Below are 27,628 nucleotides of genomic sequence, written 5' to 3' on the forward strand. Positions count from 1 at the left end.
TGAGCTGCAGTGCCTTCCAAAACAGAATTTTTCCCAATGCTTTTGCAATTGATCCCTACTCTAGGTGGATGTAAGCCAATGGTTACAGTCGTGAGCAGTTCCAGAAAGAGACATCTCGCTCTTTCTCTCTCCCTCTTGCTTTTTATTTTTTCCTTTCCAGTTGCGTCTTTCCCAATTGTAAGACTGTCATCTCTTGGCATGAAATGCATTTGTTTTTATTTTTAAAGATAAATATGCACACAGAAATGACTCATCCTCTTGAATGACAAGGGGAAAATATTAGGTAGTTCCACAAAAATAACTCAAAGGATTTTAAAATCTGCATAAGAAACTCCTGAATGTCCAAGTTAATAAAACACTTAAATATATTTTAGGATTATCTAACATGTAATCTGTATGTGATTAAACTGCTTTGGAAACAATGTAAATATCTTCACACCCACATATTTTTCCCAATTTATATGTCAAATTCCAAAATATTTAACCCAATTTATAAAGAAGACTCCATTTCTTTGCAATATATTTAAAAGGGAAAGGTTGCTTATAAAATGTAACCATGGTTCCAATAAGCTTAAAAAACAGTCATAGATGAAGAAAAACACAATTATTGTCTGTATCATTCATTTTTCTAATTTTGCGGATTGAGAGCTAGCAATCCTAATAGACGCTAATGAATTTGAAATTATAAGGAAAGGCCGAGTTCTCCAGAACTTCTGCTCCTAATCAATCAGCAGAGATCAGTGACATCATTAGCGCCTTTGATCACAGCTCCTCTTTCAAGCTCAGATGGGATGGATTGATCCTTGCTGGCACAGAGAATGGAGAAACACCTAGGAATACAATTCACTGTGAAACATGAGAGGTCATCAGCATCTCTTCCCTTCCTTCAAGGGGAACAGAGAGCGCATTCCAGAGCAGCCCAACACCAAACAATAGAGCCACCTCATTAAATCCAAACCTAATTCCCGTCTCATCTTCCTAGGATTCCTAAAGCACTTTAAGAGAGGAAGGGATGATAAGCTACTTTTCTTTCAAAGAACCTAGGTTACGAGCCTTTCAGTTTGTTCTTCCTTACCCAACATACCTACCTGGGGCTGGCCCCAAATCCCGTCACCATGTGGGGAGGGAAAGAATCTGTGGATTTTTTTCTCCCATTTTCCCCATTATGATGCGCTTAAACAAAGCAGAACTTCCCCTTCTACTTCTGAATTTTACATAATGAAACAAGTAATATTTGAGAAATAAAATTTTACTTAATAAAACTGCCAGCTACTCTACATTGGCCAAGAAGAAAGTCCTTGAATATAATGCTGACCACTACAATTTCAAAATACTTGCACTGCAGTCACTCAGCATGTTCTCCTCTGAAATGGTCACTTCGGGAATGAAAAGTTTTAATTGACCTTTTCTACATTTATTCCATGGTTGTTTTCTCCCCCTCCCTATTTGTAATAGCAGTCTAATTGAGTTTCGTGACTGGTGGTGAAATGTAGTTTATTATCTCCCTCATCAGGTGATCAATGATTTCATTAATAAGACAGATAACAAAACTGTCATATCATCGACACTGTTATGAAAGATGATCCTAGCTTTCTGCTCCATTTTCCAAGGTCTGGGGTTCTCTGTGGCAGCTCTGAGTCCATTCAATATTTTCCACAGACAGAGAAAAGTGAAAATCCATTTTGAAACCAATTTCAATTAGGATCCAGAAGCTGTTATCACAGGTGTCGCAGAATGGGCCCGTAAGTGGAAATGTCGCCTATCCATTCTGAAATGAAACCTTATCAGGGGCTACAAAGATGGCTGGGGACAGCCTATCTGTAAATTACTTTTCGTCCTGTGTTAACTCAACCTTAGTTGTGTCATATGGAATTCTTTCCACCCACTAGTAATAATCTAATGACTAACTAGACACAGCACCCAAACGGCTTTCAGCCGGGCAGGGCTGTCCCCAGAAACCCTTAAACATGGGTACAAATGCAAACACACTCGGGCCTGCAGGCGAGCAAAGGGACAGGCATGCTTTAAATGATAGAACTAAAAGTTTATTATGGGAAATAAAAGAAGCCCGTCTCCACCCATTGCATTCCTGGTGATTTTTCAATTGCAAACTCCAAGGCCCCGTTATTTCATTAATGCAGCACCCAAGTAGTGAGGCTTTTCTCTCACATCTTTCAGTCTCGTTTTAGCAAATTATCCCATGACGGCAGATTTATTCAGTCAAAGACCTCGGACTTTGAGAGGGAACAAAAGAATCAAGAGACTTTCTGGTCCACCTGCCTGGCGAATGATGAGGCAGGGAAAAGTCTCCCCCAGAGAAACCAATCAAACCATTGTGTGGCACAGTCAGACCTTTTCAACTGTCAAGCCAGAGAGCAGGGAAAGAGATGAAAGAATGCGGGATGAAGCTACCATTTACGGAACCATGTGGGAATGGTCTCCTAAGATTTAATAATTGGGATGGAACTCAACTTTCTACAACTAAAGAAAAAAAAAAGAGACAGGAAGAAAGAGACCAGGAAGAGGAAAGAGTCGAAGAAAGGGAAAAAAGAGCAAGCAAGAAAAAAAAAAATAACAGCCTAAATTGCACTAGGAATAACTTTAATACAAAAATTCTGTCTACCTGAGACAAAGTCCAATCTATATAAGTAAAGAAGAAAGGGGAAAGATGCTTCAAAAAAAGAAAAAAAAGACAAAAAAAAAATAGCAAAGCATTTGCTATTTTCCCTTTAGGTTATAGCTGCATTAAGTGTTCAGATTCTAATTTTCTCATGTAATTAATTTAAAGTAACAAAAACAATAACTAAAAGCCCTTTAATATGGCTGTCTTGTAGTTTTAAACATAAAACGGAATTTTAAATTGGCCTAAAATGTACATTCACTGGATGCTAAAAAAAAAAAAAAAAAAAGATTCAAAATAGCAGATGCTTTAGGTTGTAGATTTCTGAACAGTTTTCAAAAAGATTTTCGTTCTACTACAAATTCGACATAAGATATTTAAATAGAAGAAAGAAACTAACACTAAGTTTTGCTAACAGGACCCAGAAGAAACAGGTTTTTTGTTTGTTTGTTTGTTTTTAATGTGAAATGAACACAGCATCAAGCAGCTACTGAAGTTCCTATGCTTTCTATCATTACTGGGGACTCACACCATATGCGTTACTGAGCTGAGTTTAAAGCACAAGTGGTGGTCAAAATTTTGGGGAGGTGCTGGAACCGTTCTGTGTCTCGATGGTGGTGGCAGCTATGTGAACTTACGGATTTTCAAAACTCATAGAACGGCACACCACAAAGAGTGAATCTTACTGTATGTGAATTTTACCAAATAATAAACTAAAGCAGACATATCTGGAAACGTTTCTATGTAAACAAGGTAACAGGGAGTTTTTTGCTTTTACTATCACCCAGTCTCCCCAAAGCTGCCTGGAAAAGCAAGCCCTCCTCGACCTTGGGGGTCAGAGCAGGAGGTGGTGGGAGGCCACCAACTACCTCTCCAGAGGGAGATTTTCCTCCCATCATCACCATTTCGCCGCTTAAGCATCCACTATTTGGTGGTTGTTTCTGGTTCTGAGCAGCTTGTTTCTGGAAATTTGAAATGTTCACACCCCATGATCACATGTAATCAAAGGCAACCCAGAAACATCCCATCCAAGCAAAACATCATGCTGTGACTTCTTTTTGCTCTTAAATTTGAAAAATGGGAGTGATATTTATTCCTGATTTATCTGATATTCATTTATCCCAGGAATTGTTCTTTTTGAGGAGAAATCCAATAGCTAAAATCCCAACTTGTGCCAATTTCAGGACCAGTGATTTAAGATATTGTTCCCTAACTCTAGCCTGTTAAGCTAGAACCTGATAACCAACCTCATGTAAGGATCTCCTATTAGCCAATCCTTCAATCCTCAATCCTCAATTAGCCAATCCTCAATCAGACTAAAGCCGAACCATTCAGAGAATACTAACAACTGATGTTATGCTGAAAGGAGTGAGATGAAATGCATCAATAAATTTAATCCTGGCAAATTATACCCATAAGAGTCATATTACTATTACTATCAATAGCTAACATGTTTGGGTACTCTCTGTGCCAGAGTCAGACAGGTTAAGTACTTAGCCCATGATCACACAGCAATTACGTGGTAGGGATAGGGCTCAAACCCTGGCTTCTAACTGCACAACACTAATGCTGTTACACATGTCCCCTGCCCTCCTGTCTCAAAGTGTTGTAATTTGCAGGTTTATTCAGTATCTGCTGAGGCCCTCTCAGCAAACACACTGAATGTGAGCAGGGAGCGGGTAAGGTAGAAAAACCAGGTGCTACTCTCAAGAAGTTTAACTAAAATGTAAAACTTGAGTGCTGTGAAGGAAGGGACAGGATAAACTGGTGGAGCATGAGGGATCTTTAGAGCATTCAAAGTATTCTGTAGCATACTGCAGTGGTGGATATGTGACATACATTTGTCAAAACCCATACAACTGTACAACAGAGTGAGCCCCCATGTGAATGATGGAAAGTTAATAACAGTGCATCAATATTGGTTCATCAGTTGTAACAAATGTACCACATTAATGTAAGATGTTAATAAGAGGGGAAAGTATGTATGACGGGGTATATGAGAACTCTCTGTGTCTTCTGCTCAATTTTTCTGTAAACCTAAAACCTCTCTAAAACATGAAGTCTATTACTTAAAATAATAATAATTTTAAAAATAAAAAAATCTAGTGTTATAAGCTAGTTCCCCAAAGGACACAAGACCTTATGAGGAGAGAAAGAGACTGGGGACATATTCACATTTGAGAATTTAAACATGCATTGGTGTTAGCAAAACATTTCTATGGACAAGAGGCCAAGAGCCCTTGCATTTAGCTAAAGCATAGGTTATGCGATGGGATAGTAGCATATCTACTTCTGAACATATCAGATTGGACTGTCAGACTGGGGCCAGATTTTAGAAGATATCTAAATGTTAAGTCAAAGACTTTGAGCTTTATTCTACAAGTAGCTGGGAGTCACTGGAGCTTTTAGAGCAGGGTTGTGGCATAAGCAGAACTGTAATAAGCCTAATTTGGCAGGAGCAAGTCCCATGCGTGACAAGAGTGGAGATGAAAGGCAAGGTGATTAGACAGAGGGTCATTTTAATCATCTAAGCATGAGGTGTGAGGGTTTTCACCACACAGTACAGTAGGTTGGCCTGAAGAGACACACGAGCGAGTAATTACAGAGGAAAATCTAACAGGACCTCAAAACCGGTAGGACATGGGAGCAGGAGAGAAGGAGGGGTCAAAGGTGATGGTGCGGTTTCAAGCCTGGCTGACCACAGGAAAGGTGATATACTTAGCCAAAATAAAGAACACAGTGGTAACCAGAGTTCAGGACATGTGAGTTTGGAGCTCAAGAGAGTCGGGGCTCTTATTAGAATCAGAATATTTGTCATCAGTTAGTTGGTTTAGAAACATAAAAACTCTCTATAAAAAATAAAATCTAATTCGAATACAGCACAAACCACCAGTTCAACCCAGGAAAAGAATCAAGAAAAAGGATGTATATATGCTGCTTCTAATGCAATAGCATATAATCAGTACAACACTAGCTTTCAAGGTTGAGGAAACTGAAATAAATTTTCCCAAGATTATCTTCCCTATTTTCCGATTTAAGAAGGCATTTACAAGGAAGTTTACAGAAACTTTGTTTTTTTTAATCCATCCCTCCTTAAGATGTGCAAACTTAGTCACATTTGGGATTTGTGAAACATCTTGAACTGTTTTTCAGACATCTGAGTCCAGCAAATTCACCATTACTTTTGGCAAACATATTTCCCTTAATTTGAAAACTGACGTGTATGTTCAAGAAAACAGAATCTTTTTGTTTTGGATTCATAACGTTTAACTCACCAACATGCTTTGTCCTAATAGCAGAGGCTAACGTTTGCAGAGTCCTTCCTATATGTTTATGATACGGCAGCCTGTGAAGTGTGAAGTAGGTCTTACTATTGTCTTCCGAAACTGATGAGGAAACTAGAACGCTGAAAAGTTAATCTGCTCACACTCACATGGCTAGTCCTTCGTGTTGCCAGAACTCAAACCAAGCTTTCAGATCCCAGAACCTGTGTGTGCTACAAATGAACATCCTATGATCTGAAATCCATTTTATCTGAACATCCTTTCCACGTATCTGTCATGTGCCAGGAAATGGGATGTGGCAAAGAAAAAGGGTTGGACCTCTATAGAAACAAGAAACCGAAAACTCACAACCTATGTTCTTTATGGCGTGAACTGCCTGCCCATTTCAGAGCAGAACTGGCACATATACTCTTACCATTAAAAAAAAGTCAAGGAGACAAGAGCTTATGGTGAAGAATAGCAGATAAATTTCAAACTTCCAACAAAACTCAAAGCCATCTGACTCCCAGCTAGAAGACCAACAGACATCACAATCAGTGGTTGGTGCAAAAGTAATTGCGGTTTTTGTCATTACTTTTAAAGGCAAAAACCGCAATTACTTTTGCACCAACCTAACAACACCCATGCAATGGACAATTTAAAAGCAAATTGCAAGGCCAAGAAGTGACCAAAAGTTAAAGCAAAAAAAAAAGCAACTCCTTAGGAATTTGCAGACCATAACACTTTCCCCTTACCAACCTTGAAGAAAATAATTTTTTAAGCAAAGAACCAAATTCTTGTTTTTGAAAGAATCAAAGTGAACAGGGAACTTCCTTTGCATCATTAATCTATCAACTTTGGTTTCACATTGCATCAGCGTTAGGATAATAATTTCTGCTTTCTATCACTTTAAAGTATGTTCCCAATAACTATCAGATCTGATAAAAGATCCCCAAGACCACAGCCTACATACGTTTATCATTAGTTTCTTTTTTAAAGCCGAGTTGCAGATTAATAAGAACTATCGAATTACTCCTTTAAAACGAAATCATGGGCCAAAAATGAGGCAAAACACTTCAAATTGAAAAGTCAGTATTTGCAAATTGTTGAAAAAAATTTTATAAGAGAATGAGAACATGTAGAACATTGGAAGATTTAGATGAAAAAAACTCTTATTATTTAGAAAACACAACATGTAGCTTATGAAGTAATGCATCTACATCAAAAAGAGATTATTAAGGCATTTTACTTACAGTCTTCACACATTAATGGACTTGGACATTTTAAAGTCAACAATTATACCTAAGATCTGCATGCATACTTTCTATGGGAAAGCCAATATGTGAAATGCCACAAATGATCACTTAAACCACAATTGCATTTAAATAATTCAGAAAACTAAATGTCATCTCCTTCGTCATTTACACTTCAAATATAACAATAAAATTTAAAATCAGACTATGGGCACATGAAACTACGGGTACACTGTACTTCCTGCATAAAGATTACCAAAGGCTTTATATGTTGATATAGGTTCCTAAATGTTACAAAAATCAAATTTGACTTGCCTTTTTTTTTTGTCATACAAGATCTACAACACAGTTTTTCACTTGCATTATTTTAAATTTCAGTGTTAAGTGGCAAATGCTTCTTTAAAAAGCTGTTCAAGTTTTCTGAACTGTACCTTTTGGTTGTGGGTCTGCGTATGTTTAAACAAAACTCTATACGCATGTTATTCCAGGAGCAGATACTCAGCTGAGAAAAGTACGAAAACAGATCTGCAAGGACATGCAGTGGAATGTGAGTGGTTTGGCTGGGAAGCTCACAATGAAGAACAAATTGCACCACAGAATGGCTGGAAAAGTTAATTAAAGCAACCTCACCAATAACTCAGCCAGTAACAAAACTTTTTGTTCATTTGTGTGATTTTAATCATGAAATGGTGGATAGGAGAGAAAATGCAGGTATCACATTCATTTGGTTTTTGAAACTGAACTCTTTTTTTTTTTTTTTTTTGAGACAGAGTCTCGTTCTGTCGCCCAGGCTGGAGTGCAGTGGCACGATCTTGGCTCACTGTAAGCTCCACCTCCCGAATTCACGCCATTCTCCTGCCTCAGCCTCCCGAGTGGCTGGGACTACAGGCACCCGCCACACGCCCAGCTAATTTTTTATATTTTTAGTAGAGACGGGGTTTCACCGCGTTAGCCAGGATGGTCTCGATCTCCTGACCTGGTGATCCGCCCGCCTCGGCCTGCCAAAGTGCTGGGATTACAGGTGTGAGCCACCGGGCCTGGCCGAAACTGAACTCATTTTTAATTGTTCAGTTATAAATGGATATAGTTCAGGGCTTTGTTAAAGAAAGCACAAGAACCTTTCTGGAAACAGTAGCAATCAAACTACCTGTTATAGCATCCATATGATTCTGTTTTCCTTTCTACGAATAGCGTCAGTGCAGGGGTCCAAGCATTTATGAAATATTCATAGAGAAAAAGAGAAAAGATAGGAAGAGGGACAGAGGGACAGATGGATGGACAGAAGGATGGAGGGCCATGGCGATGTCAACCACCAGCCAGCACACGAATAGTGTCCCAACTTGGAAATCCTGCACCCCACGAGCTCTAAACCCAGACAGGGCCAGGTCCAAAGCCCACACACCAGTCCCTGTGATCAAGACTGAGTGCAGAGGCAGCAGGTGACCAGGTTGCAGAAGAAAGGGCCTCTGCGCTTCCAGCAATCCACGCCCCTCAGCATAATCCTGGGACTGTAAAAAGGCTCTGAACTAGTTAGATGAAAACTGTAGAGGACTCTGTAAAAAAGACCATGGTAATTATTAGCATCACATACACAAAGAAAGGGTTTATTGTCCTTTCTTTTACTTGTTCCTCTCTTTAGATTTATTTGTTTTCCAAGAATCTGCCTGTCGGCTTGCAATCCATGTTTAAAAACACCACTTCCATTTTTCTTTTATTTGATTTTTGTCCCAAAATATAAAACAGTAAATCTCTTAGAAGAAACAGGAACACTGAAAAACTGGCCAGAGTTCGCCAGATTTCTAGGACAGCTATCACTCAGGCATGTGCCCTGCAAGTTTGACCAATCAATGTCGGTCCCCAAACAGGACAGGATTCATACACATTTAGGAGAAAATGTGGGCTCAAGGGCACAAGCTGATCAGGGCAGAAAGCCAGGGGAGTGTGGTTGAGGAAACAGGTGATTATTTAACACTGCAGCACAAACATTTGTAAATCATGACTGCTCCTTCTCTGGCTAGTTTTATCTCGTGGCTTTCTGGTTGTTGTGGGGCTGGTCAGATTAGTTCTGTTCCCAATCACCCTCAACAGAATCATGAGGGAAACCCGAGGTCCAAGACCAACTCAAGACAAATGCAGCTGCAGTGGAAGACCTCCTGAGAATGTGTCCAGGTGTGGTAGTGGCACAAACAACAGCATCTTCATAAGAATGAGACTCTGTGGCCATGCAGCTGAGATTGACAAACAGGACAGGCGCTTCTGCAGGCTCCATGCAGTGCAGCAACATCTTCTGCCATGCACTTGTTCTTGCCTGTTCTCACATTCACACATATGCATGCTCACACGCATGCACACTCATAGTTACCTCTACCACCCACACCCACACACCTACACACTCACGCATACATTTGCCTACACTCACACATATCCTCACACACTCACACTCACTCACACCCTCACACACAGGCATGTGCACTCACGCAAACTATAAAGATAACCAAAAGCTGATGTTCCTGAAGCCAAGTACATAGGAAGCATTTATTCCGACAGAATTACCATAAAAATTACCAAATAACCAACACTGCATATACTGATTCTATTTCTGAAATAATAAATTTGCCTAAATTTTACCAATTCCAGAAAAAAGAAACCAAGGTAACATATTTCTAAGGAGAAATGCCTTCTATAACCACATTGGATGAAAAATGCAAATATTCTGGCTCAATTAAAATAAGCTCCAGTCTTGACTTTAAATACCATCAATAAAGGAGGAAATATTTTCACATATATGTAAATTCATTATTTTAACTCAGACGTAAATATATCTCCCTCAGGATCAATTTAAAACTGAAGTCATTTGCCAGCAGGTTTAAGAGCCAGCTCCTTCCCTACCCAGTACAGTCAGCAAAGCACACTCATGAAACCGGGTGAAGAAGTGCAGGTGAGAAGCACAGGCTCTCAGCAGACATGGAGGGACCCAGAGAGAAGTGGCCAGGCTGCTTGGAAGTATATGCCCTTAGAGTCTAATGTTCTGGACTGCAGTTACCTTCCAAAGGAGATTCTGACTCTCTAGGTGGATGTAAAAACTTGTAAATCAATCAAGTAAAACCTGTCTTGGAATATAGAAAATATAAGAATAGCAGGTTGACTCATACAAATCAGTGTGCCCAGATAGGCAGTGTCCAGGAACGAGGAAAACGGGCCAGCTCATTCTTCCTAAAGGCCCATGGAAAAGCAGAGAAATTCAGGGAGGCCAAGAATGGCTATGAAATCTACAAAAAGGAAAGGCATTAGTGGCCCACAATGGAGAAACAGCAGGGACAGGAAGTGAAGGTTACCATTAACATATTCAGTCTGTTTGTACCAGGGATGCTCTGGAATTTATTTTCAACACTCCATGCTTGAACTGAAATGCCTCTCAACACTTTGCTTAAACTTTAAAAACACAGAATACAGAAACAGTGGCTCTGTGTTATCTCTGAACACAAATAAGTAAATTAAATTTTTATAAGCTAACAACAAAACCTGCATCTCAGATACTAACATTACCTTGAGGTTCAGTCATTAACAATTCTTAAAATCCTTTAAAGTAGACTACTTAAAGTTGGGGTTGGAGGAGACTGCTGTCCTGTCACTAATTTTGACAAGACAACTTTTGTGTCTTTTGTACTAATTATTCCGAGTAGTGTAGATGATCCATATGCAACACAAAGCATTTTGAACTCTTGCCAGACTAGTCAAGATGATTTCCAAAATGCCAAAACAGGAACTTCTGATAATAAATAACCTATCACATTTACATCTCAAATTAGAAAGTTTGGAAGTCAACGTGTAGGTTGAGTGCCAAAATAGAGATTACTACATTCCATGTCCCCCCGCCGTCCCCCCGCCCCTGCTCCATTTGCTTTCTTTAGCGTCTCCTAGAACAAACACTGGTCCAGGTGCAAACGCTCAATTCACAAGGAATGCAGAGAACACAGAAATGACTCCAGGCTGGGCTGCTGGTAATCCCTGTGCTGCTCACCATTAGAAGTGGTGCTGGAGGCAACGGCTTTCTCGCTCACATCTGTTCGAGTGGAGCACTTCACTATGGAATTCTCAACTTTTTTCTTTTCAGTGGTCGTGGAGCTGTGGGACTGGGCCTCCATGATGTCTTCTCATTACTTCAGCTCTCTTCGACCAAAAATGCCCTAAAGAAAACAACAGAGCCATCAACTTTCCAAAATGGTGGAAAAAAAAAAAAAACTTTCAAAAGTCCACTTCACCTGTCATCTGAGAAAAGCCTAGAGCTTTAGGAAATTCAAAATGTGGATGACACTTCTCCACAGGTTTTCTGGCAAAAAAAAAAGTCTCAAAATTTAACAAACCAGTGAAACTCTACACAAGCAAAAAAGAGAACCGAGGGAAATGCCCATAACATGGTACTTTTCCCAAATCCCTACTGAGCGTTTGGTATCAAACGGTATAAAAATCTCAATTTGCAACTGTGTCTATCATGTGAAACAAGTGTCACATTACTTTTTAAAGCCACGTCTGCAAATGTCTCTTCAGGTGGCCAACTTTACAGGAAGGGGCATTTGAACAAATTCCAAAGGGAGGGAAGGTTTTTAATTATTAATTAGATGTTTTAAAGAGAGTCCGACAATTTCTAACATCGAAGGCCTACTCCAAATTCTGAATCAGAGGATAATTCAGGCCAAGTAGTCAGTGATTTTTGCCTCTTTCATAAAGATATCTGAATTGCAATATACCTCTTAATCCTAATTCATTCTGGTAAGCTATACTCTTTAACCTCTTTAAAGCATGAGAATATTTCAGTTCATTTAAGTTACACTTTTAAGACAAAGGTAATAGAACAACACGCTCTTGATTCCACATGGAAAAGTTGAAAGGTGCCTTAGCAAAGACTGGGCTCACTTAGGAAATATCAAAACTCAGCTAAAGGCAGGTTCAGTAGGTCTGTCTTTCACTGGCTTCATTCATGTGATAATCGCCCTAACTCATCATTCATCAATTTTCACTCTGGTTCATGTTCCTTTTTGCAGTCATGTTCTACACCTACAAAGAATACAAGAAAAGAGGAAAAGTACCCTCTCTAGCATGTTTTCTTCAAGTTATCTAGATTGCAACATTCATGGAAAGCATTTCTTAGGTCTGGCCATCTTGCTTATTTTTCTACATTTAGTAAATGTCGACATCCTCAATCACAGCAGTGGTTAGTGAAATGAAATAAGCAACTGCTTGACCAACTAAAAGTTAAAATACAAGATAAAATATTTTCAGTCTACTTTAACACATATTTGCAAGGGAACTGCAAGCTCTTCATTGTATAATAAATTCCTCCTTGATCTGGAATTCAAGTAACTAGAATGCTTAAGAACCAGAGGCCACATGGCACACTGTAGCACCGGCTCTTCCACTCACTTCCATCTCTTTTCTGAGATTATCCAGTGTCATTCATTGTAAAACACACAAGTTATTTAAGAACAGCTTTTGTAGAATAAAAAAGAAAAAAGAAGCACTAAGTTAAATTTACATATCAATTGTAAGATCCACTCCAAATTCAGAGACACCCCTCAAAGGGCACTGACAAAGTATTATACAACAGAAAAGGGGGCTTGAGATTTCCCTTCCGAGTGCAGCCACCGTGCGTGAGTCCCAAGGGCAGGGCTACCTGCATGGCGCCCCCTGGGGCTAGCTGGCCAGTGCACAACCGCCAACAACCTGTTGCTGAGCCTCAGTGATCTCATCTGTCAAATGACAGAATCGGGCAGTGAGATCTGACCTTTACTTTGGGCGGGAGGAAGTAACATCTTAAGAAGGTGTTAAAAGTTAAAGAGCTTCTCCCCAGAAAATACCCTTAAACTTAAAAGTATACATTTAATTTCCAAGGGATCACAGACCTTCCAAGCTTTTCCAAGAATCTGGACAGAGAACCCTTAAAGGAGAAATCTTTGATGGTCCCTTCTAGCTCTAACAATCTCAGAATAATTACTTTTTGTAATGGTCCTTGAAAATTGATTTAAATATCATCTTTAAAGTATGCCACAAGAATAATCCAATACAATTGGCATCATTGTTTCTCACTTGGTACAAGAACCATTTGTATCAGTGTTTCTACAGTGCTTGCTAAGCATTCAGATTCCTGCAATGCATTTGCCTTGGAGGATGGCACCCGGAACCTCAATGTTAGCAAGCGTTACTAATTGTCAGATTCACTAAAGCTTGTTTTTTTGTTTGTTTGTTTTTGTTTTTTCGGTTTTGTTTCTTTTGAGACAGAGTCTCACTCTGTTGCCCAGGCTGGAGTGCAATGGCGTGATCTCAGCTCACTGCAACCTCTGCCTCCCAGCTTCAAGCGATTCTCCTGCCTCAGCCTCCCAAGTAGCTGGGATTACAGGCGCCCACCACCATGCCCAGCTAATTTTTTGTATTTTTACTAGAGATGAGGTTTTGTCATGTTGGCCAGGCTGGTCTCGAACTCCTGACCTCAGGTGATCCACCCGCCTCGGCCTCCCAAAGTGCTGGGAGTACAGGCGTGAGCCTTGAACAACTGTTCTACACGTTTATTTTTGCTCACTGCTGTATACCCAGTGCAGTATATACTCATTGAAGTCTTTGCTGACCTGATGAACTAATGAATGAACTGCACTCTAGAATCCTGAATTCTAACACCCTACACAAACCTATCCTAGCACCCATCACAATGATAAACTCTCCTTCATCTGGAAAAGTCTGTGCTGAACATCCACCTCCCCTTTCCAGGCTGTATGCTCCATGAGGACAAGGCTTCTACTTTCCCAGCACTTAGTTCACGTAAGAATGTTTACTGAGTACATAAATGATCGCATCAATGACCCTGTGACTTACAGGACTCTGCAGCGTCTTGAATTTCAATCACCACTGGTTTAGCTACATACATTTTCTTTTCATATTCAGTGTTTCGTTGAAAACTGGCAAATTCTATAAAAACTAAAAACTTTAGCAGAAATATTTAATTGATCCAAACACTCCATTCTTAGCCATTGGGATAAGCAAGAATTTACTATGCTATAATTGTTCCCTTCGACACACACATAACAGTTTTATTGGCTGTATTTGAGTAGAGTCTACAACGTTAAAACTGCACACTGAAACATGCAAATGCACCAGAAAAAAACCCATTCAGAGATGGGATTCCTAGTAAGAACTAAGTATCTTCCTTAGCAGAGGGTGCTAATTAATAGGAATCAGGAGACAAGTTCCCAAAATTCCTTGACAAACCTGGTTTTTGTGGAGTTGTTGGTTTTTCCCCCAAGGCAAAGGACTTTATTTTAACAAAGCAATAAAACCCTCCCAATGCTCATCACCATAGAGAGAGGCTCAAGTGAGAAGAGGTAAAGCTCCAGGCACTGACTGAAATCACACTAATTAATGGTCTTAAAGAATACTAATTCCTACCCCCGTCTGAAATGGATTTTTTTAAAAATAGGCCCTTGGTCACTCAACAATCTACCCCCTTCTATTTTGACAACTTATTTTTGGATCTCATTAGTTAGTACCTAATTATTTAAAAGTGTGGTTTATGCTTGGAACTGGGCTATAAAGATGGCAATGTGCCAAATCAGACATCTGCTTCCTGTACACTCCTATAAATTATATCAGCTTATTTTACAACTTTGTCCCTGTCAGTTATAAAGAAGAAAGTTTAACATTCTAGACGCCCACACCTCATCAAACTGTGGGTGAAGAGTCAGTGAGCGGCAAAAGGTGGCCGCTTTGAGTTGTGGTGATGGAATTTTCAGGGAATAGTCAGGAGCTTGGAAAGTCACTCCTGAGCTGGTCCATTCAAGCATTCGGGATAGAAGTGGTCAGTAGAAATTCCTCATGGAATCTCAAAACACCACTAGGACAGTAGCTCCACGACACTTTTAAAACCTGGAGTTTAAAAAATAATGAAGTATAATTTATTTAGAACTTAAGCATCAAGGGAAAACGTTAAGTTCTGCTTCACTTCAAAGACTTTTCCCTGAGGAAAACATGCCACTGTTTTTCAGATGTGAATGAAATGATACTTTTTCCCCCGACATAGTTTCCTTGCTTACGACTCCACACTGTTCTCCTTCAATCCCTTTCACCACTGAAACATTACATGCAAGATTTGCTGGCATGCCCCTTGACTTTTCATGCTTAAGGGGAAAAATGTTTGTAGCTGATGTTTGAGTCCCAGGAGCTCGGTGAAGAAAAAAAAAAAAAGCAACGCAAGGAAAATTGCTCTAATGGTATATCCTTCCTAAAGCTTGAAGTTTCATAGGTAAAAGGAGGGATAAACATTCCTTCCTGAAAGCAAACAGTCAAGGCTTTTTCCCACTCAACTATCCCTGAACCTTTTGTAATTTCCCCGAGGCCTAAACCCAGGGCACAATTAATTCCAGACCCTATTTTAAATCTAATCCGTCTCCTATTTGCAACCTGCCTGCAGGTGGGTCTTTTCTTTCTAAATTATAAATCTGAACCTGCGTCAACCTCTTACAACACAAGGCATTTAAAGCTTCCTGGAGCCACTGACCTGGTGACGCTGTAGTGCACGTCTGCATTTGAAAGTAAGCAAGAGAACAGAAAGCGAGCAAGAGAACCGCAACCTTTACCACCTTGGCGAATTCTTGCCGGGACCTACATATTAAACAGCACTTGCACACAGACGCCTCAAGTCGTCCTCTTTAGAGTCGTCACTTAGACCTGCAAGGGGCGGGGGACCAGTGGAAACCCAAACAGAAACTTTCACCATTACAAAGGCGAGTCCCCATTGATTATGGTAATTGTTTTGCTCAGGTTGTACGGGTATGGCCAATTTTGTTTGAAAGCTCGCTCTTTCTCTGCGCTTTCCTGTCGAGTTCCCTTCAGGTTCTGGTTTCCTCCGACGGTGGCAAGGGATGTTTTTCACGCCTTTCACCACTTTTGCCCGCGCCTGCGTCCCCTGCCCGAGGTCCCAGGCCGCGGCGGCGGCGCGGTGGGTTCATTAGCGGGCGCGCCGGGCCCGCGCAGCGCTGTCTGCAGCCGCGTCGCCGCATCCATCATCATTACATCAGCGCGGGGAAGTCCACGCCGAGTTCTCCCGGCCCCGGCGCGCCCCAGTCAGCGCGCCAGCAAACAGAACATGCTGGATTGCTCAGAGACGGCTCTGGGTGTCTGGGGGCAGAAGGGGTGCTCCCAGGCCCGGCTTTGATCCGCATTTCTGAAGCTGGCTTTGGGAGACAATGCATCTCCGCCAGCCAGGCCGCGGGAAAAGTGAAAAAAGGGCTGGGGGCCATGTGGGGGTGGGGAGGTGAGCTCCAGCGCCAGCAGCGCCTGGCAGTCTCCCTCCAGTGCAGAGAAGCGGTCTGTATCAAGGCGTATCAGAGTGGTCACCCTGCTCCTCGGAATATTCACGGGCATTTGCAAACTCTACAGTTGGCCCAGCCAAATTTCCAGCAAACACTGGCAAGGGCCGGCCCTGGTTGCGTTCAGAGGGCTCTTTTAACTGGCTGAATTCAGGGAGCTGCAACCTTCCAGGTACTTTGCAATGCAACCACCCTGAGTGTCGCATTATAATAAAACATTGGGGATCCCTTGAAAAGCCTTCACAAAACCAATAGGTGTGTGCTTCGCTCACAAAACGTCGAATTCACCTTCTATGAACCTGGCCCCCAATGTGTTTTTCTTCATTAGCTGCCATACATAGATTCAAGTGCTGTGAATGGCTAAGACAGACACATCGCCTCATTGTCTTGAGCTCAGGGAGGCCCTGAGTGGAGTCCCAATGTTCAACCTCAACAACCAGAGGCTTTCTGTAGTAAATAGAAAATATGAAAAGTCACAAGTGTGGGAACGTGAGAAAAAATTAGCTTTTCTCCTTTCAAGTCTCTGCAGTGAAACCTCTAACCCCCATGGGAGCAGGATTCCTTTATCGTTTAAACACTAAAATGTTTAAAAATAAAGCACCCATGCCAAAGCCAACGTTTAAAATGATGTTTGAAGTGAATAAAACAACTTTCTAATGTAGGGTGAAGTCGAACAGCATCCTTCAATCATGATAGTGCATCCTCCCTGAACAGCAGACTACTTCATTTATTTCCCTAAGCCAGTTGGTTTAAGTTGCCTAAACTTGGGCAAAAACTCTCTTCTCTTTTTTTTCTTAGTGTATTTCAAGATTTAAAACAACTAAGTTAAAAGCCTATTTAATGATAACCCGATCTGTTTCTGATAGGTTAAAACAGCTACTGGCAATAAGAGATCAGAAACAGAAGACATTCCAGGCGAGGCAGTGCTATTAACAGCACCATGGCTCAGCCTTAAGTGAGAAATTATTCCGTGTAGTTTAGGGAACTATTACTCCAGTGGAAGAAGGTTTTCCTCCAGAGAAATAACATTTATTTACACCTGCCTGTATTTTCATAAGCTGAATAATCTTGATTTGCTGTTTTAAATATCCAGAAGAAAGCAGCTTGTCATAAGGATTTTTGAGGCAACCTACCCTGTAGCACTGAAGAGTGACATTGCTCTCATACTTATATTACTAGTAGATCAACTGCTACTTCAAGATGCTACTCCCGGATTAACCATCCAGGTAAAACTACTATTAAAGATATGTACCTCCCTGTAGCTATTTAATAACCCATTTCTCAAAAATAAATAAATCCTTTAGAAAGAGAATTTTTTTTTCAGAATCAAGAAGTACAAACTAATGTTGATTTGAACTTTTTGATCAATTCTGGAAGTGAGAAATAGTCTGAGTTTCAATGAGCAAAATGCAGGGAATTTTAAACATTTCATTGGATTTCATGTATTCATGCACCACAGAAAACCTCTTATAGGTTTTTAATGTGGTTGATGTTTCCTTGTGTTCAAAATATCTTCTGAGGGCAAAATCAATTAGATATGCATAACCTTTGTGACACTCTAGCAGTTCCCAGGATTCCTAAGGCTTCATTTCCTCTCCCTTCCCTGTCTGTGTTGCCTTTTTCTGCAAGGGTTGGGCGGGGGGGGGGGGGGTGGAAAGCCCAACTTCATAAGTTCTTAATGAAATCTTCATTAATTTTTAACCATTTTTTCATGTATAATTATTTTACCTGTATATATGATTATTTTTCCATAATCAGGAAAGCCTAGAATCTTAACTCCAAATAGGAAAGCTTCTATCTGTCCGCTTTGCCATTTGGTAGCTCAGGGTTCCCCAAATCCACTGCCTAGTGTCTTCAATCTTTCTTTCCTACATTTCTGATGCTCCTAATCACAGATAAGCAGTATTCATGACAGACATACCCAAATGGAATTACTCCAAGGGGAACTAAATTACTCTAAGGGGAAATAATTGCCTGGCTATGGATTAAGTGAATTTGGTTTTGGTAAATTAACACTATCTAAACTTTTAAGAAATCCATATATTTAACTTCAACCACTGAAAAGCTTATTTGACATGAAAGTAATCATTGCTACTGCAGTTAAAATCACAAACAACATTTCTGTGAGCCAGTTTTACTTTTCTGCCATTTGTATTTAAAAGAAAAGATCATCAGCTACTCTTCCCCTGTTGCCAGAAGTACTTGATGAGAAACATTTGAGGGGAGTATGAGGTCTCCATCTAATACTTGTTACCATTTCTCAGTTCTGTAAAACTATGAGTCCCACGTGCCTTGGTTAGGCACTGCAGGAAGCAGCATGCATAGCAGGTGCCATTAAAAAATGAGCAATAATGTGCAGCACACTGGCACCCCCACTTTCTACGGGGTTAGCTGGATACAGGCAATCCTTCTCAGACAGAGAAGGAGATCTGGAAGTCAGTTATCAGTCTATAGATCAGCTAAGCTCATGAAAACTGTATTCCTCTTAAATCCACATATATCACAAAAATATCATGACTGATCAGATGTGTCCCTTGTCTCGCTTCCCTGAGGCTTATAGGAATTAAAAGTTTTCACACATTTTCAGAAGAAAAAACTTTAATTATTCTTATAGAACTTGTGTAGCTTTGGTTTCTTAGAATCATGTGTGTCTTTACAGTAAGGCTTAAGGGAGTATAAGGGAGTAGAGTGTATGTTCCATGAATAGTAATTTACTTTTAAACCATCACAAATATTAGACCAATAACCTGTTGCATGTTAAAATCATCTACAGCTATCCCAAAGGTATTTAACATTTTTTTGTGAAGTACTACTTACCATATTTTATCCTCCCAACTTTTAAACTTTTGATCCTTGATTCTTAATTGCAGATTTAAAAGCAATACTTTCAGAATTTAAGCATTTATAATTAAGGATTATCCAGTAAAAATTACCCCATGGTCCACTTACCCTATAAACTTTGCTTGTTCACAGACAGAATTCTTTAGCTGTCTTATTTTTCTGCCTTGCATGTACAAAACTGCCAGTGTAACCTACACCAAACTACACACCCTCTCAATGAAACTCTCTGATATGGAATTTCATTGTAGTATCCACAGTTCAAACAGCAGACACTGTCCTGAAGTGGCATGGCCTGCTCCACACGTCTGGCCACTGGATTCCAGGTTTCCATACATCAGAGTCATTAAGGCTTCAATCTTAAGCTGCTGGATGAAATTTCTCTACACACTGCTAACTTTCTTCAGACTGAATCATTCTTTTTAAAAATATCACAAAATGAAATCAATAATAGGGCTTAACTATCTCAGTCCTTCATTACTGCAATTTGAAACTTATCTTTCATCTAAATGGTGAGTTTTCAGTCTCTCTTTGTACAAATCAATAGTTTGTAATGTAAAGCACTCTGGAGCCTTCCTAGGCATTTCATGCAATCTTCAAAAAAAAAAAAAAGTTAAAGTAGCAAAAGTTAAAAATTTCCACATGAAAATAAGCAATATAATGTCACACTACCTTCTGAAGTTACTCCAATAAAGATTTAAGTAAAAGTGCACTTATCCCCCATTACTTAATTAATTTAATTTTGTGGCATAAGAATTATAGAAGTACACAATCAAATGCTTGTGGTCAAAATGTACTCCTGTGCCACCCTCCCCCACCACCTAGCCCCCTCCCCTCTTAAAAAAGAAAAGAAAAGCCCCTCTAGCTGTTTCAGGCCAGCAGTCAATCCAATTTACTGCAGGTACAATTTATATGTACAGTGCATGCCACAACAAAACCACAGTATGATGCCAACACGGCCCTTAAGAAAGTTTTCCCCTAAATCTCTGGAAAGGAGCTTTAAAAGAAAGCAAGGATTACAGTCAGCTAGAAGGTAGGGAGGGGACTTACCTCAAACCCAGTCAAGCGGAAATCAGAGCAGTAATTCTACAAGTCGACAGAGTACACTTTCAAAGCTATAATGGTGTGAAGAAGTGCTGGGCAGCATGGCCTGAAGGCAGCACTAATACACTGATGACTAATGGCTGGGCCCGGGCAGACAATGAATTTGGGGCTTGAACACTAACAGAAACCATGCAGTACTTTGACAAATGGGCTTTCACAATTTCATTCATTGAATAACCTTTAAGCACAAAACTGGCTAGCGTTCTCTTGGGAATTATATGACATGTTGTTGGACAATGATGTAAGTATTTTCTTTTTTAATTATGACTCCTATGCAAAATGCAGAAGTGCCATATATGAGAGTACAACTATAGATACCACAGATGCAGATGTGGAGCTCAACACAATATTGCCTTTCAGGAGGGGGCTGAAATGTTCCAAAGCCACCTTATTAACTATGTAATGGCTTTTTCATTCAGCTTCTTTAGAAGGCCATAGATTTTCTGAGACATTTTGTCGGGTTGAAATATATACACACAGAACAAAAAACACTTTCACATTTAAAAAAACCAAAAGACACTCACAGAGGTAATGAGTAGTGAAGAAATTTGGCACTCAAATATAGCGCATTTAGAATTACAAGTGGAAAAAGTCTCTCATTTTCAGGGGCCAGGCAAAAGAAAAGTGCCATAAAACAATTGAGACACCATGTAAAGTTTGCGATCAAATGTACTTCCAAACACATTTAACATTCAATTTCTTTCAAACAGCTCTCCTCCCTCTCCCTGGAGTGACTGGCCTTTCAATTTAAAAATAATAATTATGGCAATTTTTAAAAAAGAGAATGAAATATCTAAAGTGGCTCTAAATTAACAAGTACCACTTACTCCAGACAGCATTGCCTTTAGCAGCTCCTAAAAACTTAAGAAAAGGATCTTAAAACAGGAAGCTTAGTGAGCTCATAAAACTGTTGCTGGAGCCAGGAACACATAGCATATTTAATCTGCAAACTGTGAGAGTCTACAGTGATTTCAGCAAGATCTGAGGCATGCCCTCAAGGTTTGCTGGGATCTGGGATTAGGGGGTTGATAAGAACCTCCACTGCCCATGGACATGTTTTTCTTCTGCAGTTAAACACAAATGCATAGAGACGTTTGACTGCTGCTTGGCGTTACTGCTCAAGTTATATAAAAGCTTTGCAGCTCCTTTTGCTGTCAATATATCAAAGTTTAAAAAAAATCATCAAAGTGTGAAATTTCATTTAAAGTCTTCGCCAGTCTACAGCTCTATTTCACAGGCCCATCAAATAAAAGTAAAGATGAAAAATACACTGAAAATACTTGAAAAAGTTTGCAGCAGTACCCCCTGCCCTGTTGTTGTTTATTCTGTCTCCCTTTATTTGCTTTGAAACCAGAAACAGATCAATTTTCATCTAGAAAAATGACAACGTGAAGAGAAGGGCAGTATCTTCTCCTAGGCTTTAATGAAAAGACAACCTGAAGTCATTATTAGAGTGGAACCTTTTGTTTAACAAACGTGTGTGTATGTGTGTGTGTGTCCTATAAAGTCATTTCAGCATTTTAATTGCCTCTCATGATATAAGTTGGCAGAAAATTTACTGAATCTTCCAAAACAAATCAGACCGACCTCAGAATATGAATGCCAGCAAAACTAAAACCTCCTTCAAAGAATTCTTTAGCTGGGGATTTACAACAATTGCATAAAGAAGAAAAGTCTGACTTTTAAGATAATCTACTATAGTCTAAAAGCATTAACATTCCATTGCTAAGGTTTTCTTGAGGATTTCATGACTCATTGATTCACTTTTCCTTCAAGACTGGTTTTTCTTAGTACATTACTGTCTCCATGTAAGTGAGTGCATGCAACAATGATCATTAAATTGTTTCTTTTCATAAGCTCCCAAACTCTATCCTCAAAAAATGGAGGGGGAGAAGAGGTCTCAGTAAGCAGGATACCTTACATAGGAGGAAGGACCTCTAAATGGCTAAGCACAGAGGAAGTCTGAAATGCTTACAGCATGCAGGTAATTAAGGAAACTTCACTGGCCAAGAAACAAAGGAAAGTCCAACTTTTAGGCTTGCACATCGAATTGATAAATTAACAATTCTTTCATTAAATAATTAATGAAATAACTCTACAGAGCCATTTTTCATCAGTATTGAATTTTCTCATTTCTGTCTATGGTCCTTTGCAAATTAGATATACAATAGAAATGTGTTTATATCAAGGTTCAGTCAAGGAACACAAGCATGTTAAAGGCACTGGGAATTGGTAGGCATCTGAGTTGGACCTACCAGCCTACTAACAATAATACAATCTATATCTTTAAAGTGTTTCTGCTTGTGTGAAATTTCACTAGACACCTCTCACATTGGACTCATTCATGCATCTTAAACCAAAGCTTCCCTAGGCTGACTTTAAGAATTGCATACCCTGAAAGGATCTCCCCTTAGGCGGGGAGTTTCTAATTAAATAGCTTTTAGTATAAAATAAACTCTCTACTCTGTATAAGCATGCTATTACAACTAATTTAAATGTTATTTCATGTTTGTTTTAGGTTTGAATATAGTTTAACTGGCCAAAGTGTTTGTGTACCAGGTCGTTAAGACCAATATTTCCTAACATAAACAAATTCTTCAGATACTTCACAGAGTTTACATTGTTAAAACCAGTCCCGGCAGCTTTAATATATCCCCTCAACTGAAATACTGTTCTGCTTTAGAAAAATTAAGAGATTTTGAGGCTATTTCACTATTTTAAAACATAGCATTTTCCTCCTTCAAAAGAATCTTGACACATGTAATTAAGAAACTGTCAGACTACTATTAATTTTTAATCTAAAACCTAAATGAAATAATTACAGGAATCAATCAATAAGGCACCTATTCAAAATTACCGAGCAATTACATAAATACTCAAAATTAATACTTTAGGTCAATTCTTGTAGATTTCGGTCTATAATATGCTAAGACATCAAACAACACAAAAAGTGTAGCATGGGGAGGATGAATGGTTCCTGCCTTAAATAGACTGAAAAGAGCTCATTTCAGACGGCCAGGGTGCAGGCCCCCCACCCGCCATGCCCAATGCGCTCAAGCTGAAACTCTTTTATTTTTAAAAGTTAATTTATTTCCACCAGACACATATTTCAGGGATCTAAAAAAACGGCCTCATCCAAATTCTGTACAAAAATCACATTTAAGAGGGAAAGGCCTAATTACTCGAATTTTCAGCAAAGTGTATATACTGTGCTCTGGAAAGCCTAACTGGAGAGAAGAGGGAGGAGAGGAAAAGGGGAGCAGGAGGTATTTTTTAGAACTAATAATACCAGCCCGGCTAATGGCACTGCCATGTATTTGCACAGCGGCCGGCCCTCCATACCTTTGACTAAAGGGTTCTTTGACTTGGAGACGCAGACAGTCCATCATTTCAAACTGAAGTGGCAGCTGGAAAATGTGGAACAGCTGGCAAAGAGCTGGGAGAAAATGTTTTACATAAATATATGTACATATAAACTGGCAGAGGGCCATGAGCACTGTACCCAAGGCCAGAATCTACCCGGCAGTCTGCACTGGGGAGATGAGAAGTTGGGGCAGGATGACCAGCGGCGGAGGGAGCCTCCTTAATCCTCTTTCCACGCGGGGTCAGGCAGGGAAGCCTGGGGTGCAGCGCCTCTCGGGGGACGGCATCTTACAGAAGGAGGTGCAATGGGGGACAGGAGCACAAAGTTCAGGAAAGGATAAAAGGCCGGGTGCGGGGTGGAGCGTCCGCTTCGGACAATCTGCTTAAAAGTCGCTTCACAAACTCTGCAAGTTTGGGATCAATATTTACACCCTCTCTGCCTTCTCCCGCCCGTTTTCCCGCTGCTACTCAAGAAAGTAACTGTCCCCTGCTGCTCTGTGTAAACGCGGCACCTTAAATGATTATTGCATGGACCACGGTTACTTTGTGTGTCTGTGCGCGCTGCCCCTGGAAAGGAAAAGAAATAAGAGAATCCCAAATCATATACAGATGGTACAACTTTCACTTTTCCTCTATGACGACGAAGGCGCGCCTCTCTCCATCCGCTCACACCACACCCCCGCCCTCCGAAGCATAGCCCGGGCTGGAGAAGCCCCAGCGGCGGCGGCCCCCGCGGCGGAGGTCCCCGCGCGCACCCACCATGCCTCCCGCCTCCTTCCGCCCATCCCGAGCGCCGTGCGCGCCCGAAGCCCGAGCCGTAGAGCGCCACCGCGCAAAGGAAGGAGCCAGGCGCGTGCGGGGCTCGCGGAGTTCTTCTGAACCCTTTGGATGGGGGCGGAGGCGAGGGGCGCCGCCACCACTGCGGCAAACTTCGTCCCCCCTCCGGGAGGTGAAATTCTCCAATCCGTCTCCGGCCGGTCCGCGGGTCGGACTCTTCGGAAAGGACCTTCCAGGAGGAGGGAGCGAATGCAAGCCTTGCTCGGACGCCTCACCGGCGGCTCTCTAAATCTGGGCGCCTTTTGACAGCCATTTTCACTCCATCCCGTCCCCACGCTGGGGACCACCTCTGGCCCCGGAGGCGCGGGCGCGGCCGCAGGAGCGGGCTGCGGGGTCCGCGAAACAAAGAACTTCGAGCGGGACGTACCTGCGGCGGCAGCGGCTGTCAAGTCCCCGAACTTCCCATAGACCCGCGGACGGGGCGCAGGCTGGCGGCTCCCCGCTCCGCGCGGCCGCGGGCGGCTACGGCTACCGCGAGCGGCCGGGCTGGGCGCGGGGTGCGCCCGCCGCGGGCATGGTGCGGCGCGGGCGGCCGCGGGGCGCGCGGGGAAGGCGGGAGAGCGGCGCGGGTGAGTGGGAGCGGCGGGTGTGCGCGAGTGCGAGTGTGCGAGCGCGCCGGTGGCGCTGCCCCTGCCCGCTCCCTCCCGCTCGTGCAGCTCCGGCATCAGTTTCGGGGATCGTGTAATCCGATCCCTTCTGACTCACAAGCCCTGAGTGACAGTTCTGATTTGGTTCAACCGCGGGAGGGAGGGGAAAGAGAAAGAAAGAAACCCCCAGCCGTACGCCTCTCCTGGCATCCAATCGACTTTCTGGAAAAAGGTCCCATCCCGGCCTGGTGCCCCGTGCTGGGTGGAGAAGCCCCCCGCCCCGACCTGGCACCGCCTGCACTACTCACGGGGTGGAAAAGTTGTCCCTCGGCTCCGCGCTCCCCTCCCGCGCGCTCCCTCCTTCCCTTCTCTCCTCCTCTTCCTCCTCCTCCCCGCGCTCCTCCTCCCCCAAGTTTTAACAGATGTTGCCGGACTCTCCTCGCTCCCTCGCACTCTCTCTTCCTCCGCCCCGGCCCCCGCCCAGTCCCTTTTCTTTCAGCCACTCTCGGGCTCGGAGGGGACGCGCTGAGCAGCAGGACGCCTGCCGCCGCAGGGGGCGAAGTTGGGAAAACTTGGAGTGCTGCTCGCCTTACTTTTGCTTTCTCGCTCCTTCCAGGCCGCGCCGGGAGCCCCCGCTTCTCCCGCCCGCCGGGTCCCCAAGCCCGGAGTGGGTCCCAGCTGCGAGGCGGGCGGCGGCGGCTGGGAGGCGGCGCGTCGCGGGCCGGGGTCGGGGGCTGGGGGGGAGCCCGGGCGCCGCGAGCCACGCGCGCGCTCCCTCCCCGCCCTCCGCCGCCGCCGCCGCCGCCGCCGCCGCCTCCTCCTCCTCCTCCTCCTTCTCCTCCTCCTCCTCCTCCTCCGCCCCTCCCCGGTCTTCACACAGACACATTCATGCCTGCTCCTCCTCTTCCCCCTACTTGACCCCGCGCCCTCCCGGCGCGCCGAAGCCCCACCCACCCGGCGAGGGGAAGGGGGCCCGGGCGTGATGTCACCCGCGCCCTCTCTCTTCTCTCTCCACACCGCCAGGACACCCCCCAAATGCGCGCCCTGGCACTCGTGCTGCGTCCTGTCTGCTCCCATCTTCTCCCACCCAGCCTCTCTTTCTCACTCTTGCTCAAGGGCTGGACTCCCCTTTATTCTTTTAAGGCTTCTCTGATTACCACCGCCCCCCATCCTTGGCTCCCCATCTCCTTGTTTTACATTTTCCCAAAGCCATCCCCGAAACTCCCTCTCGCGGGATGATGCCTTTGGAAGTTCAGGGTTTTTCTCTCCACCGGACTCGTCTGCCCTCGGGGCCAAATCCGCGAAGCGAGGAGGAGCTCCCACCACACAGCCTGCTGTCCCTATGGGCCACTTTATAAAAGACACAAAAACAAAGACCCCAGGCTTGGAGCCTGGTCTCTAACGTGCCGCTTTTCCTTGAGCTACAAAGTGTCTCTGTCCCTGCTTCATTTTCAGAGGCCCATGCTAGTAAAAGTTATTTGGCCTCCTTCCTCGACCATCCAGTCCTTGTTCATCTGCGTCATTTTAATATATCCAACCTGGACATGTAACTTAAAAAAGGAGTTCTCGGGGGGAAACACAGGAAGAAAAAGAAAGAAAAGAAAGCCCCTGTGACATTCCAACATCCCCTCTTTCTGGTTAAGCCGGGTCCACCCAGCCAGAAGTGCCCCGGAGCTCCGGGTTGCTTGTGTGGCGTTGCCGCCAAGTGTCTTGACTGAAGGAAGAGTGTGGGTGGATGAATGATGAGCTATTAGAATTTGAAGAGCATTTTGAGATTCAAATGCTTAACTGAAGAATCTTTTAACGAAATTGAGGGTGGTATTCATTGTTTGTTTCTTGGGACTCCTTCCTTGTCACAATGACATGACAAGTGCAGAGACAGACTTAAGGTTTTATGGTGGAAGTGGTGGAGGTAAGGTGGGGCTAAAGGCCCTAGTTAGCCATTTGTTTTAAGATTTCCCTCGACCTCACGGCTCAGGAAAAAACAAAACACCACTGACTCATCGCAGAGAGCACGAGACTCAGAAGCCCTGTGGCAGCCCCATCTCCGCGCTCACTAACTGGCCTCAGGCCTGGGAGGATTCTCTGAGCCTCCATAGGCTCTGAGCCCATCTAGGGGATAGTGTTAGGAGTGCCAGGTCGCGTACCTCCCAGGATGGCTGAGGGTTTCCAATGAGAAATACATGGAAAAGTATAGAGGGCTACAAGTGTGTAAGAATTATGCTTTTACAATTGAAGAGAATTGCAAGCCACTCTTTCCTTTATATACTCCCAGCATCAGTTACAATTGTTTTTAGTATTCATGTACTGCTTCTGCCTCAATCACATGAATACAAATAGTACATCCTGATAGCCTACTCTGTTCACCCAATGGCAAAAAATAAATACAAAGAAAGACAGCCAATAAATC

The 27,628-nt window shown here is 42.5% G+C and overlaps 1 protein-coding gene across 6 annotated transcripts in view, besides 5 other annotated features; it reads right to left on the reverse strand.

Annotated features, from left to right (window-relative positions):
• The window catches only part of GLI3 (GLI family zinc finger 3), a 303,320-nt gene that overhangs the window by 251,024 nt on the left and 24,668 nt on the right, over nucleotides 1-27,628 (reverse strand). The window contains exons 1-2 of one of the 6 annotated variants that reach the window (XM_047420207.1): nucleotides 25,812-25,932; nucleotides 11,158-11,323 (exon numbers count right to left, since the gene is read on the reverse strand). In XM_047420207.1, coding sequence (XP_047276163.1) covers nucleotides 11,158-11,281 — 124 coding nt within the window. In that variant the 5' untranslated portion in view covers nucleotides 11,282-11,323; nucleotides 25,812-25,932. The other 5 variants (XM_047420205.1, NM_000168.6, XM_047420209.1 and 2 more) reach the window with 5 other exon arrangements.
• Nucleotides 1,260-2,989: an enhancer, noted in NCBI's record as "VISTA enhancer hs1213". NCBI's record gives its function as "enhancer in: hindbrain (rhombencephalon)[5/6] | midbrain (mesencephalon)[5/6] | forebrain[3/6]" and the evidence as "EXISTENCE:transgenic organism evidence [ECO:0001131][PMID:17130149]".
• Nucleotides 2,010-2,584: an enhancer, noted in NCBI's record as "OCT4-NANOG hESC enhancer chr7:42253581-42254155 (GRCh37/hg19 assembly coordinates)". NCBI's record gives its function as "activates a minimal SCP1, AML or CMV promoter by ChIP-STARR-seq in naive H9 embryonic stem cells {active_cell/tissue: H9 hESC(naive)}" and the evidence as "EXISTENCE:reporter gene assay evidence [ECO:0000049][PMID:30033119]".
• Nucleotides 10,086-10,594: an enhancer, noted in NCBI's record as "OCT4-NANOG-H3K27ac hESC enhancer chr7:42261657-42262165 (GRCh37/hg19 assembly coordinates)". NCBI's record gives its function as "activates a minimal SCP1, AML or CMV promoter by ChIP-STARR-seq in naive and primed H9 embryonic stem cells {active_cell/tissue: H9 hESC(naive and primed)}" and the evidence as "EXISTENCE:reporter gene assay evidence [ECO:0000049][PMID:30033119]".
• Nucleotides 16,340-17,119: an enhancer, noted in NCBI's record as "H3K27ac-H3K4me1 hESC enhancer chr7:42267911-42268690 (GRCh37/hg19 assembly coordinates)". NCBI's record gives its function as "activates a minimal SCP1, AML or CMV promoter by ChIP-STARR-seq in naive H9 embryonic stem cells {active_cell/tissue: H9 hESC(naive)}" and the evidence as "EXISTENCE:reporter gene assay evidence [ECO:0000049][PMID:30033119]".
• Nucleotides 24,981-25,962: an enhancer, noted in NCBI's record as "H3K27ac hESC enhancer chr7:42276552-42277533 (GRCh37/hg19 assembly coordinates)". NCBI's record gives its function as "activates a minimal SCP1, AML or CMV promoter by ChIP-STARR-seq in primed H9 embryonic stem cells {active_cell/tissue: H9 hESC(primed)}" and the evidence as "EXISTENCE:reporter gene assay evidence [ECO:0000049][PMID:30033119]".

The sequence above is a fragment of the Homo sapiens genome, chromosome 7 (assembly GCF_000001405.40).
Source record: "Homo sapiens chromosome 7, GRCh38.p14 Primary Assembly".
Classification (NCBI taxonomy): domain Eukaryota; kingdom Metazoa; phylum Chordata; class Mammalia; order Primates; family Hominidae; genus Homo; species Homo sapiens.